The 14,735-nt window shown below is 49.5% G+C and overlaps 1 long non-coding RNA gene across 1 annotated transcript in view; it reads left to right on the top strand.

Moving 5' to 3' along the window:
* The first annotated feature begins 10,079 nt into the window (after nucleotides 1-10,079).
* LOC107985941 (uncharacterized) overlaps nucleotides 10,080-14,735 on the top strand; it is a 35,549-nt gene continuing 30,893 nt past the window's right edge. The window contains exons 1-2 of the long non-coding RNA XR_001739665.2: nucleotides 10,080-10,184; nucleotides 11,357-11,526. This is a non-coding gene — a long non-coding RNA (uncharacterized LOC107985941). The remainder of the gene's footprint in view (nucleotides 10,185-11,356; nucleotides 11,527-14,735) is intronic.

Here is a 14,735-nt window from a genome sequence, read left to right as displayed (position 1 = left end):
AGGATTCAGACCCCTGGTTCTGTTTTGGTTCCACCTCCTACTACTACATCTCTGTTGTCTGGACGCCCTTATTCATCTCTGAAAAGACTTTCTCCCTGGTAGCCATAGGGAGAGTGGACCAACAAAGGAAGATGCCAGGCTGGGATGAGCTTAATGGGCAACTGGCAGGCAGAGTCTCAGGACTGTGTTTTGAAGTCTATTTGGGGGACTCAGTAAGTCTTGTGTGTTGGGAGTCTGCCGCCCAGGCCAGGGGCTGAACATTTAATCAAGGAGTTCAAACAACTGCCTGCAGCAGGCCTCTGGTTGGGGCTGAAAAGTCTGTAGAAAGGCAATTTAGTTCAGGTCCTATCCCTTGACTGCCAAGTCCAGGAAGAGAAGTGACTGCTAGCCCCGTGGCCCATCTATTGACTTTGACACCTAGAAAGAACAAGGTTTTTGAAGTTACAAGGACCTGGGTTTGAATCTTGAGCCTCAGTTTTCTTACCGGTCAAATGGGAACATTAGATAGAGTAAACCAAGGGCAGATGTGCAATGTAGGCCTTGAACACATTGAATTCCCCGCCTCCCCTCGCCTGTGAGCCCTTGGCTCCTTGTCCTTCACCACAATTCTGTGGATTTCAGAAGCTCCAGGGGGATGAAAGGAGAATGGCAGAAGCCAGGCTGCACTCTCCCTTGGCCCCGAACCCAGCTGGAGGGCCTGATTTTGGTGGTTGTAAGTCCTAGTCTTCCCTTAGCTCTGCCATTCAGTTCCACACTCTTTCCTGAAGCCCCAGAAATCATCATTCCTGGGGACCCTTCTCTTCCCTTTTCTGCTCCAGGCCCATGTGATTACTCTTATTCCTTGGGGAGAGCCAGCTTGGGTGAGACCCCAGACCTTCCGCCTCCTTGGGCCTCCATCCCAAACAATCCAAGAAGCCTGAGGTCCCTGCAGATGCCTGGCCCCACCCACCTGGACATGAGGGCCGCTCACACCTGGTATAGGTGAAGTCGCATTGAAGCCTGGAGAAGAACCTTTTTTTTAAAAAATTGATATATCAGCCAGAGTCGGTGGCTCACACTTGTAATCTCATCATTTTGGAAGGCTGAGGCAAGAGAATCCCTTGAGCCCGGGAGTTACAGGCCAGCTGGGTAACAAAATGAGACCCCCATCTCTACAAAAACACACAAAAAATTAGCTGGGCATGGTTGTGAGGGCCTATAGTCCCAGCTACTCAGGAGGTTGAGTTGGGAGGATTGTTTGAACCCCAGGAGGTTGAGGCTGCAGTGAACTGTGATTCTGCCACTACACAGGAAAATAAGAAAAAAAATCAATTAAAAAATTAATTGATATATCATAGTTGTATATATTTTTGGGTACATGTGATCTTTTGGTACTTGCATGCAATATGTAATGATCAAGTCAGGATAATTGGAGCATCACTTCAATGCTTCACTTCAAACATTTATCTTTTTTGTGTGTGTTGGGAACATTACAGTTCTTCTCTTCTGGCTATTTTAACTTATTAATAAATTATTGTTAACTATAATTTCCCTACCAGACTACCAAGTGGGAAGATTCTAACCTGGTTTAAATTAGAACTGCTGAGAAGTGGGAGAAGAGTAGAGATGTGGTGACCCTGCCATCCCCAATTAACAGGAACTTCTGATGGTAGCCACTACAGGTGGCGGGCAGGAGCCCCAGAGCAGGGTTCAAACACAACACAGGACAGCCCCAGGGGAGACATTTGCTGCTGGAGGTGGGAGAGGAGCTTCGGGTACCTTCTTGTCATGAAGTTCAGGGGATCACATCTCTGCTTGTGCCCCTTCCTGGAATGCAGAGCTGCCTAAATGCAATAATTGCCTACAAGATAGAGTGGGAATACAGTGTATATGCAGATTTATGTAAATAGCATGCAAATGCAGTGGCCTTAGGCTGAGTGCCCTGGGATGGCAGCTGGTTGGGGATGGGTCCCCCCTCTCTTTTTTTACTTCTGACTTTGCCTTCAGCCCCCTGAGGACCTCACAGGGAGAGGCCCACTGCCTTACCTCCACACAGTCCCTCTTCACAGCAGGCTTCAGCAGGAGACAGCAAGCAACTATGGTACACCCTGTGCAGGAAGCACCATGGGCATTGAGGGGACACCAGAGGGGAAGATTCCAGGCACATGCACGGGCATTGTACAGACCTTGTGATTCAGTACAATGTCCTCATTTGATAAAACAGGACAGCAAGGCTTGGAGAGATGTGGTAGATTTCCATCACATAGCCAGTGGTGGCAGAACCGGAATCCCATCCAACGCTGCCCGACTCTGATTCCACACTGTCTTTGCCCTGCTGCTGCCTGCAATGCTGTGCCACCTGATCCATAAATAATGTATCAAGGTGTGCGTATAGATGTGAGCATGAGGTCACCTAGAGCTTCCAGACCCTTTCTTTATTTTATTTTTTTTTTGAGATGGACTCTTACTCTGTCATCCAGGCTGGAGTGCAGTGGCGCTTTCTTGGCTCACTGCAACCTCCGCCTCCTGGGTTCAGGCAATTCTCTTGCCTCAGCCTCCTGAGTAGCTGGCTGGGATTACAGGTGCCCATCACTATGCCCAACTAATTTTTGTATTTTTAGTAGAGACGGGGTTTCACCATGTTGGCCAGGCTGGTCTCGAGCTGCAGACCTCAGGTGATCTGCCTGCCTCGGCCTCCCTAAGTGCTGGGATTACAGGTGAGAGCCACCGCGCCCAGCAGACCAGACCCTTTCTAATACCTTCTGACCCCAGCAGTGGGGCCCAGGCCCACCTAACATGGCAGCCTGGATGCACCTCTCTGTTCCTAGGCCTGGTGCCTGGCTCAGTAAACGTTTTTTTTTTTAATGATTGAAAGCTCATCTTTATGGTACTTAAAGTCTGTTTCAATTACTAAGGGTCTTTGTCGCTTTTTTCTTAGGGCAGACTTGTCCAGGCCAGACCACACTCTGTGGGGTGTTGGGAGTTGGGTTTTCTTGCTGCAAGGAATATATGTTCTTTAAGGCAGTCATCTGCCTTAAAGATCCTAAGGTGAGGAATTAGGGGAGCCTTATACTTGAAAGGGAGGTCCCCTTTGGGCCTGGGGAGCATTGGTCTGAAGGCTCAGGTATGGAGGATGCAGGAATATCTGCTGGTGAGGATTGAGCTGGAACCTCCCTCCTTCCCACTCCCATCTTAGTCCCTCCGGCCTTTAAAAAAATTTATTTTATTTTATTTTTATTTTTTAAGATAGAGTTTCACTCTTGTCACCTAGGCTGGAGCGCAATGGCTCGATCTCGGCTCACTGCAATTTCCACCTCCTGGGTTCAAGTGATTCTCCTCCCTTAGCCTCCCAAGTAGCTGGGATTACAGGCGCCCGCCACCACACCTGGCTAATTTTGTATCTTTAGTAAAGATGGGGTTTCACCATGTTGGCCAGGCTGGTCTCGAACTCCTGACCTTAGGTGATCCACTTACCTCGGCCTCCCAAAGTGCTGGGATTACAGGCTTGAGTCATGGTGCCTGGCCCTATTCCCCATTTTAGTTCCAGAGAATTAAGTATACATAGACATGGATTGAGTGGAGCACTAAGATTGGGCTGCCACCTGTGTAAGCTGAGAGCGCTGGACTTGGGTTAACGCTGAGCTTTGAGTGTATTTGCTCAACCTCACAGCTGGGCCGAGCTGTTCTGTGGGGAGTCAGGGATCCCATTCTCCCTTCGTGATCCCACTGGAGAGAGCTCATCCGTGGGGTCATTATCATCCATGCACCATCAACATGGTGGACATTCCAGAGGCTGGAGGAAGTGCTCTGCCCTTGGGAGCCAGTGGAGACAGTTTTCTGGAAAGTACTCAGAAATCACGATGGTAGGATTGGGATAGGGTGGGAACATATACTTTGTGAGGGGATACATTTCTGGGTAGAAGGTAGTAGGGGACTATCTTATAATGATTTCAGCTTAGAAAGCAAGAGTGCTGGCTAGGCATGGTGGCAAGCCTTCCAAGTAGCAAGGGTGCTCTCTTTTTGGGAGTCACAGGCTGGTGGGCTCAGAGACCCACAAATCCCAGCCTGGCTCTGACTCAGGGATCAGCCAGGCAGAGTGTGGTGGATTAATACCCAACAAAGCCAGGGTGGTGACCAATGGCCAGAGCTGGTCAGAGGCCGGAGAGGCCAGGTGTCCGGGCCCAGCAGCCAGACTCCTCCTACTGCTGGCCTCTGAGCACTGAGATTCCTGCTCAGTTGCAGCATTTGGGAATTTAACTGGATCCCAAATGAAATGAGACACAACTTTTCACGTCCCCGGACATCACACAGGGACCACGTACAATTATGGATAAAATGAGGCACTGCATCCCACTGCAGAGGCGCAAGTCCTTGGCAGAGGGCCACTGGGAGCTGAGGCTGCATGGAGAGCTGGGCTGTGGGGCGGCGCTGGGCTTCTTGCCCAGGCAGGACAGAGGTGGGGGAGGCCTGAGCACTTAGTTGGGGATGGAGGCTTAGTCTATTTCCCGGGACCATTAGTGAGACAAGAGGCTGCTGAAAAATTTAGCACAGGCCCTGGTAATGCACTTTGGAGAGGAGCCTCCCCTCAGGTGCTCGTGTAGCATGGTGTGGACTCAGCCCTGGGCATAAGGCGGCCAGGGCTTGTCTGCCTTTTGGAAAATGACAGTGAGGAACAAAACAAGGAGCTGCCCCCACAGACTTCCTCAAGTGCGTGTTTGGGCAGTGAGCCTGAAGACTGGGGTGACTCTAGCATGAACCCCACTGGAGTCTCAGGTCCAGGAAACCATCTTTGACTCTCACCCTGGAGTTCTGCCCTGCTGCCTTGAGGTCCTCCCCCATTCTCTGAGGACAGACCCCATTCCCCTGTGGGGTCACAGAGAATGATACCCCAAAGTAGGAAGTGTTGGCAGGCTGAGCACTTTGAATTAAAGGAAAATGCAAGTCCTTAGAAGCTGCCTCAGAACCAAGAATTTTCCAATCTTCTCTTGTTTCTCCTCTGCCCCCTCCCCAAGTGCAGGAAAAAGAGGCTGTCTAGAATTTCCATATCTGACTATGGACACTTCTTTCCAAAAGAAATGCAACTGTCTTAAGGCCCCCTCCCTAGAAATCTCATCAAATAACCAGGAAAGATTAACCACCCACCTGCAAGGAGAAAAGAGTAAAAGCTGTCACTAAGCCCAGGCTTTTCATCTATTCTTCTGAGGGCAGCTTTGAGGGATGACTAGGGAGACTTTACCTATGTAATAAGACAACCTTTGTTCACAATGCAGTTTTGCCCCTCACTTTCCCTTAAATTGCAGTCCCATTCAGCTTCCTAAGAGGACATTTACAGGAAAATGTCTGCCTTCTGGGTCCATTTGATTTCCCTCAAAATTATTTACTAACCTTGAAAATTACCTACCCCCATTTCCCTCTCTCCTATGAAGAGGGTGCTATTTAAACTTCAGTCATCTGGCTCTTCTTTGAGCCTCATATTTTCATGGCTCCTGTGTTTATGTATGTTAATACATTTGTATGCCTTCTTCTCCTATTAATCTCCTATTGTCCCTTCATTTCCAGTGAACAATCGGGGGGGCCTAGTGGAAGCTTTCCTTTTACCCTTACACTCCCAGTTAGCCCCAAAAGCCCTGTTTTTGAGGCAGAAACCTTGCCGTAAGCACTCCTGGACAGAGGTCCTGTGCGAGCAGAGGTGGGAGAGTGTGCTAGGGGGAGGAGCTGCAAGAAGGGATGCTCCCTAAGCTGATGCCGGGGCTCACCCCTGTGAACTGGCTGTGCTGCAGTCAGCAGGGCAGCTCCTCTGTGCCAGGTGCTCCACAGGCATCATCTCTGACATCTTCAGTGCCCTTGCAGGAAGCCCCTCCATATGGCTGTTTCTCAGTTGAGAACACGAATCCTTTAGTGGTTAGAACTGAAGGCAGGCTGGGCATGGTGGCTCATGCCTGTAATCCCAGCACTTTGGAGGCCAAGTACCTGAGGTCAGGAGTTTGAGACCAGCCTGGCCAACATGGCAAAACCCCATCTCTACTAAAAATACAAAAATTAGCCAGGCTTGGTGGCAGGCACCTGCAATCCCAGCTACTCAGGAAGCTAAGGCAGCAGAATCTCTTGAACCTGGGAGGCGGAGATTGCAGTGAGCCGAGATTGTGCCATTGCACTCCAGCCTGGGCGACAAGAACGAAACTCCATCTCAAAAAAAAAAAAAAAAAAAAAGAAAGAAAAAAAAAAGGAACTGAAGGCAGTTGCATGGTGCATGGTGCTTTACAAACAGTCAAGCTGAATACAAATCCAGCCTCAACTTCTTTCGTGCTGCAGCACTTGAATCGTGATGTTTCTTCCAGGCCCAGGAGTTCTCCTTTTGGTTGACAAATATTCATGTTTTTAAGCCTTTGTTTGGTGGTTCATTTTTCAAATGGGTATAAGGCAATGGTTTTCAAGCTTTTCTACATTGCACACCTAACCCCATAGACACAAAATCAAATAGAAATTATACACTCATGATTGAAGCAAAAGTGTTATGAGATAAAAGTTACCCTTAGGACATGTAATAAGATCTGATATTTTACAATTTCATTCTTTTTCATTAAAGAATGAGCTTGTTGGATCCTACCCTCGCATAAAGCTGAAAACCAACATTTGTGAACACTGGCAGGTGGCTGCGTGTCAAGGTGAGGTGTCACCAAGTACATTGTGGTCACTGTGGTGGTGGGTTGGTTGTAGCCTTTTGGGTTTCCTAAACTGGAGCCGGTGTAAGTGAGGAACATAGATGGAGGATTGTCCCAGCCACACACGTGCTCTGACATGTACCCTGAGGGTGTGGCAGGGTTCAGAAGCATCCATTCTGCATCCTGCAGGGACACAGGATTCCCTACAAGGTCTGGGTGCCTTTGACTTACTCACCCTCTCTGCTCCTAGTTCCTCCGCTGAGCACTGAGAGGGTTGTAGCCTATAACATCCATGGGCCTTTCCTGCTGGACATTCTGGGATGGTTCCAAGTTGAACTTGACTTCCGTCTCCCTTAACATTCCCTACTTTTCTTCCTAGCCTATAAAATCCTGCCCAGTTAGAGGCCACAGCCATGGGTGGACAAGCCACTGGAGGCTGAGCGGGGTGGTGGTGGCAGTGAAACCGCCTTGGCAAAAATTATGACATGTGAGCCATGTGAGCCCAGCAATGGCTGGGAGCACCTCTAAAGCCATCTGAGAGAAATCCCCTTTCTTGGTTATTTCTACCCTTGTGTTATCTCCTCCTCATTCTATGTTAGATGCCCTTTCCCTTATTCGGGATCCCACTCAGCATCTGGAAAGCACTTCTTGGCTGGTGCCCTAAACCCTCCTGCCTCCTCTGGCTTAGGCTCCAATCCCTAGGGCAGGTGTCTTTGCCTGGTATCCCACTAAGAGCAGAGCCTCAGCCTGGTCATGTGTGCCTGCATGCATGCAGTTTATTTGGGAGGAGAGCTCAGGGAGCAGGGTGAGGGGCTGGGGGAGTGAAGTGGAGAAGGAGGGGAAGTCAAGTCAAAGGTGTGTTGTTGAGCTGATCTCCATCCCACTGAAGCTTCTGGGGAGTGTGTATGCCACTGCCTCCCCACCCTGCACCCCACATACCTACCACATGGCTGAGGGTTGCTGCAAGAGTCCTTGACAGTCCTGCACTCCTGAGCTGTGCATGCCTGTGGGACTGGGCTTCTCAGGTGACTCACATCATAGTGTTGAGGAGGCCCTGGGGCTGCAGGAGAATAAAAGCCTGCAGGGGGCACGCCGGGCAATGCTGTGGTCAGAGGGTGGCTGAGGGGTATGAGATGGGCACAAGAGGCATGTGATACAGCCAGGGCAGCCCCAGCGGGGCCACACAATCCAGACGCTGACTCACATGCACCTGGTGAGTGTGGGCACAGTCCCTGCCCTCAGCCACATCATTATCTAGCTAGGGAAAAAGACAGGATGTGCCAAACAATTGGTGGGGCCACAGGACCTTACATAATCCAGTTTCACAGCCGCTTTGCAATGGATGAGGATGTCAGAGCTCGAAAGAACTTCAAGGATCCTCTTGTTAATTCCAGTCCAACCTTCTCACTTAGAGATGAGAAAATTGAGGTTGATTTATGCATTTGTGTAATGACTATGCCCATTTTATAACGTGAAAAGGGAGAGAGGTTAAGCGACTTCCCAAGGTGGCCCATGTGTTGAATGATTCACCATTACATCCTAGAGGGGTGGGTGACTGTGGGTGAGGCAGGGACAGGTGGGGAAGGTCAGCTTCCAACACATCCTCCGACTTTTGGTGCCACCTGCGGGGGGAGTCCTTGTTATTTTGGGCACATCTAGGAAGACCTCAGGACCTTTGCTAGAATATTTGCCCATGTCCTGTAATTATTAATGGGTATTGATCGGCAAATAATGCTTAAAGCGAGGGCTCCCTTTAAAGAACAAGCGTATGTTCTTGTAGAATTTGGATTCCTGCAGTAATATGAATACTCCTTCTCTTACCTGCACTTCTGCTTTTATCTCCTTAACTTTGGGCACTTCATCTTTCCTCCTTCTGGGCCTCAGTTTCCCATTGTATGTAACCCTTCTAGTGCCTTGCGTAGATGCATGCTTGATGGCCTACTGACTGGCTGAATACATGGGCCAGCTCACAGAACCACTGATGGAAGCAGCCTCAGAAATAATCTTATCCTGGGTCCTCTAATAAAGGTGGAGAAATTGAGGCATACAGAGAGGAAATATGGATTGCTTTCTAAATACCCACAGCAAATGAAGGAGGCAGATGCTTAACTAATACCAGGTGATAAGTGTCATAGCAGAGGTGTGTACCAGGAACACAGGCATCCACAAGAGAGGCGTGGTGAAAACTGTTCATGCTGCTTTGGATGGTGAGAACTGAGCAAAAAACAGCCTTCAATTCCCCAGATGCCATGGAGGTTCTGCCAGCATCATGCTCCCTCCATCCCTCCTCCCACCCCTGCAATGATCATCAGAGTTCTGCCCACAACAGACTTGGACTCTGCCTACCTGGAGCAGGACACCGGCCCCTCCCAGAATCTAGGGAGGCTGAAGGGAAACAGGCAGAAACCAAAGACAGCTGGAAAGGCAGCTGAGGTCATAGGGCAGAGATTGCCTGGACATGACACTGTGGCCACTGGTGTGGACACCAGCTTGCCACCACTGGCCCTGCTGACTTTGCTGCTGGGGGCGGGGATGCCACCTTGGCCAGCAGGATATTTCATTATTCTACTTAATTATATTATATTTATTATATTATATTATTTATTTTAGAGACAAGATCTTGCTTTATCACCCTGTTCAGTGACACCTCACCCTGACACGCAGCCACCTGCCAGTGTTTGCAAATGTTGGCTTTCAGCTTTATTAGAGGGTTGGATCAACAAGCTCTTTCTTTAACAAAAAAGAATAAAAATATAAAACATCAGATCTTATGACATGTCCTAAGGGTAAGTTTTGTGTCATAACACTTTGGCTTCAATCGTGAATGTATAATCTCTATTTGATTATGTGTATGTGGGGTTAGGTGTGCAATTGCTGGGCTGTAGGAGGGCAATCGTAGCTCACTGCAGCCTTGACCTCGTGGGCTCCAGTGATCCTCCCACCTCAGCCTCTTGAGTTGCTGGAACTATAGGAATGCTCTAATATGGCTGGTTATTATTATTATTATTTTTACTTTTGTGGAGATGAGGGTCTTGCTATGTTGTCCAGGCTGGTCTCAAACTCCTAGCTTCAAGCAATCCTCCTGCCTTAGCCCCTCAAAGTGCTGGGATTACAGGCACGAGTCACTGTGCCCAGCCCCAAGAAGGACTTCTGGCTGGCCCTGCTTCTAGATGTCACTCACCATAGACCCAAATCCCTGGTGGGAGTATCTGACTGTCTGAACTTGGGGCATCTGCCTGCCTCCAGCTGACCAGGCCAAGAAGAGTAGGTTGGGGCCTTTTAAGCCTTCCTCTAAGAGGCAGGGCCTAGCCCTCCCTAAGACTCACCCACTGGCCCATTCGTGAAACATGGGGAGGTGGATCAGATGCTAGATCCAACCTAATGTGTATTCTATGCCTTCCCGGCCCCCTGTACCTACCCTGTGTAGGATGCGGACCTGACTTCAAAGAGCTCACTGACATCAGAAAGCGGCTTGAGACTGAGGACCCAGGAGATGGCAGCCCAGCTCAGGGCAGCCTCTTCCATTCCAAGGGTGCTGGAGAGGTGAGGACAGCTGCTCATTTCACCTATAAACTCTGCAGTGAGCAACCAAGAACCCCAAGACCACAAGGGGATTTGAACAATAAGTTCAGTCCTGTCACTCCCCCTCCTTCCATAAGCTGCACTCAAGAAGGAACCATGCACTGCATGATGCAATGTCCACCACTGCTAAATGGAGCTGCGTTAAGGTGCTGGAGTGTGGTGTAGACCAGTGCTTCTCAAATTACAAAGTTTGCAGAACTCACCTGAGACTTTTATCCAAATACAAATTCTAATTCAGTGGTTCTGAGGTGGGGCCAGAGGGTCTGCATTTCCAATTTCCGAGGCCATGCTGCTGATCTTAGATCACCCTTTAAAAAATTTTTATTATTGGCTGGTTGTGGTGGCTCACGCCTCTAATCCCAGCACTTTGGGAGGCCGAGGTGGGCGAATTGCTTGGGGTCAGGAGTTGGAGACCAGCCTGGGCAACATGGTGAAACCCTGTCTCCACTAAAAATACAAAAATTAGCTGGGTGTGATGGGAGGTGCCGGTAATCCCAGCTACTTGGGAGGCTGAGGCACGGGAATAGCTTGAACTGGGGAAGGGGAGGTTGCAGTGAGCCGAGATCACGCCACTGCACTCCAGCCTGGGTAACACAGCAAGACTCTGTCTCCAAAAAAAAAAAAAATTATTATTATTTTTAATAGAGACAGAGTCTTACTATGTTGCCTAGGGTGGTCTCAAACTCCTGGCCTCAAGACATCTTCCCACCTTTGCAAGAGCCACTGTGCTTGGCTTGTGTAGACCCTTTGAGCAGCAAAGGTGTACACAGGGAGTGCTGTGGGAGATCTGCAAGGGGCGTGAACAGGGTGATGCTGAAGTGTAGGGAGGCAGGAAGAGGAATTGGGTTACCAGCCCTCTCTCTCCCTTCTCCCCTTTGCCTTCCACACACAGCCTCTTGTCCAGCCACTCCCTCTTCCTGGAAGGGCCTTACTGACAGAGTGCTGGGGAGCCCTGTCAGCTGGCCACAGGTCTTAGCAAGGGCCACCCCCTCCTTCAGGCCTTCACCGTGTCTTGGAACCTCCCACTGCCACAGCCTCAGCGACACCGTCCTTAGATCCAGGCAGGTGGGCTGTGACCCGGGACTGCACTTTGGAAGGCCTTGCTATCCTCCTCTGGCCATCTCCTTCTCCAGGGCCCGAGGGATCTGCAGAACCGGAGGAACATGCCAACCTGAAACCTGGGCTGTCTTTATCCGGCTGTACTCCACCTGGGATTTTCTGCCCGGATGGCATCAAGATCGCTTCCAGGCCCTATTGGGACACTTGGCTGGGTCCTTCCTTGTGCAGGCGAGCAGAGACGCAGGTTTGTGTGTACCTGGAGGCTTGACAGGAGCTAAGGGCGCTGACTGTGGAAAGAGTCTGTGTGCAAGGAGCTTGGCTCTGAGGGCTGAAGGGTCTGTGTGTGTGTGTGTGCAAGCCCCTGATGGGGTGGGACAGGGCAGGAGGTGGGAAGAGGAGGGAGCTGGGCCACAGGCCAAGGCCTGGTTCTCTCATGCCAGCGTGTTCCAGCATGAAACCCAAGGAGTCTGAGAATTCGAAATTCTAACTCTCTCCCACTTATATCCTTGCCTCAGTCTCCTCAAATGTCAGGGTATATCTGCCCCGTCCCTGTGCAGGGCCACCACTCCTTTTGCAGGGCCACAACTCCCTGTGCAGGGCCATAAGTCCCTATGCAGGGCCACCACTCCTTGTGCAGGGCCACACTCTCTGTGCAGTGCCATCAGTCCCGTGCAGGCCGCCACCGGCCTCATGCAAGGCCACGACTCCCTGTGCAGGGCCATAGGTCCCTATGCAGGGCTGCCACTCCTTGTACAGGGCCATCATTCTGTACACAGTGCCACTAGTCCCATGCAGGGCCCACAGTCCATGTGCAGAGCCACCACTCCCTGTGCACTGCCACCACTCTGTGCGTGCAGCTGTCCACCTGGCTGACTGTGAGGTCAGCCCTGTTCTCCCTGTCTCTCCAGTGCCTGGGCAAGTGTGTAGGACAAAGTCAATGCCCAGTGAAGTTTTTTGTATGCCCGAAAGAGGAAAGTTGGTCTGATAGGTTGGATCACACTTAAACCAGTTCTAGTAAGGCTTGCATTATAAAGAGCTTCCAGTGAGAAATGATGTTGAAACAATGTTCAATCTAAGACTTCAACCTTGTGACTCCCTATTGGCAGAATGTCAGATACTATGGCACCTGGCTGGGTGGATGGGGATATTATTATTTTTTTAAATTAATATTAAAATTGAGTATTTGATTAAGCATAAGTAATACATACACATGATACAAAAAAATTCAAAATTGTGCAATATGAGAAGCATTTCTCTACTCTTGTCTCCCAGTCCTCAGTCCCCAGTCCCCATGGTCCCTTCCTTGGAGGCAACTCCTGGGACCCATTCTTCTTTTTTTTTTTTTTGTGACCGAGTTTCACTCTTGTTGCCCAGGCTGGGGTGCAATGGCTCGATCCTGGCTCACTGCAACCTCCGCCTCCCAGGTTCAAGCAATTCTCCTGCCTCAGCCTCCTGAGTAGCTGGGACTATAAGCATGTGCCACCAGGCCTGGCTAATTTTGTGTTTTTAGTAGAGATGAGATATCTCCATGTTGATCAGGCTGGTCTCAATCTCCCAGCCCCAGGTGATCTGCCCGCCACGGCCTCCCAAAGTGCTGGGATTACAGGCATGAGCCACCGCACCTAGCCCTTGGGACCCATTCTTATGGATCCTTCCAGAACTGGTCTGTGCTATATAAGACCATCACAAATGGTAGTAAATGATGCACACTGATCTGCACCTTGTTTTTTCCTTCTTAGCAATATATTTTGGGGATTGTTCCATATCAGAACATGTAGAACTTTCATTCTTTTTGATGGCTGCAGAACATCCTTTATTTACCCAGTCCCTCTGATGAAGAGTTAGATGGCTTTCACACCGTGCTTTTTACAAACATTGTATATGGGGATTTTGTACATATACGTGAGTATATGTGCAGGATTAATTCCTAGGAGTAGAATTCCTGGGTCAAATGGCGTGCACATTTGTTAGTAAAATGTCTATAGGTATTCCCAAATTGTTCTTGAGTAGAGGCTGTATCAAAGTACACTCCCAACAGCAACATGTGAGGATGAAGGCATTTGTTCCATGCAGGGGCCTGTGTAATAGGGTTAGGGGCTGAAAAGGTGCAAGTAAGTTTCCCAGGGCTCATCAGAACCCACCAACATGGCATTGCCCAGTGCTTGGCCTGGAAGATATTTCATAGTTCTCTGACTGTGTTATAAATGCTAACTTTCTGAATGCAAATATTTTGGCAGGGCTTTTCCTTCCTGATGGCAGAATTGGTCTCAAGGGCCTCTGTTAGCCCTTGGGGCCATGGCTGTCAGGGTGAAGGAGAGACAGCAGGAACTTTCCTCTGGCCATGCACCGCCTTGCATTTAGAGCTGATTGGCCCTGTGGCATGCTCATTGCTCAGCCAACAGGAAATGGCAGTGGCCTAAATAGCTTATTCTAAAACAAGCACTCTTTCACTTGCTCACCAGCCTCATCCATCAGGCCATCTGTCTGTCTATCCATCCATCCATTCATCCATCCATCCATCCATCCATCCATCCATCCATCCATCCATCCATCCCTTCTTTCATGCAACATTTATGAGCAGTGGCTCATGTGTGCTTGGAGAGCTTTGAGGTGATGGGAAGGGGGAGGGGGTAGAGAAGTGCAAACAACATGTAATACTTTGATGAGTCATGTGCTGAGGTAGGGGAATGTTAATTATGATAGGTCTCATTTATTGAGACCCACTGGATGCTGGGGCCTTGATAGGCACCTGGGCTGCAGAAATGGTTTAAAAAGCACCACCTCTTCCCTAAGGAGATCAGGGTCTCCTAGGGAGGAAGGACAGTCATGAAAAATCAATATCAGGGAAATGTCCTCCCTGCTGTAGGAGCACTGGAGAAAGGGATTAGTTCTTGCTGGGGGTGAAGGAATGTCACATTATTTTATTTTCTTTGAGGCAAATTAAACTGGCTGCAAGTTCCCATTTGTCAAGATAGATGAGAAATCTGTATCTGTCAGGTTTGGGGCAGGACTTATCCATGGTGAACATTCAGGGTAGAGCCCTCTGGACTTCTCCTGTCATTGGATACTCTGGTAAGTTCCTATACTTCCAGGCGAGGCTGCAGCTTGGGGTCTTCACTATGGAGTCTCAGGATTTGATGTCAGCCCCTTTAGGAATCTCCCATATGAGGTTGGCTATCTGCTTAGGAAGTGGTTCAGGTGAAGGCCTGCGTTCCTGCCCTTCTAGAGACCCTCCCAAATCTCTAGACTTTAATTTCTAGGCCCTGGGGAAGACTTCAAATGCTTCTTTCTCTGAATCCTAACCTTCCCAAACATTGGTATCCTTTCCTTCAGGGGAAATCCAGCTCCATCAACTTTAATTAGCTCAAACTTTTGAAAACAAGAGCTTCGGTGGGTGCCTTGTTTCCCCAGGTGGCTTGGCAGCTTCTGATTTTGGCTGGCTGAGCAACATGG

Source organism: Homo sapiens, chromosome 2, assembly GCF_000001405.40.
Source record: "Homo sapiens chromosome 2, GRCh38.p14 Primary Assembly".
Taxonomy (NCBI): Eukaryota; Metazoa; Chordata; class Mammalia; order Primates; family Hominidae; genus Homo; species Homo sapiens.
This window is presented reverse-complemented; position numbering and strand designations above follow the sequence as displayed.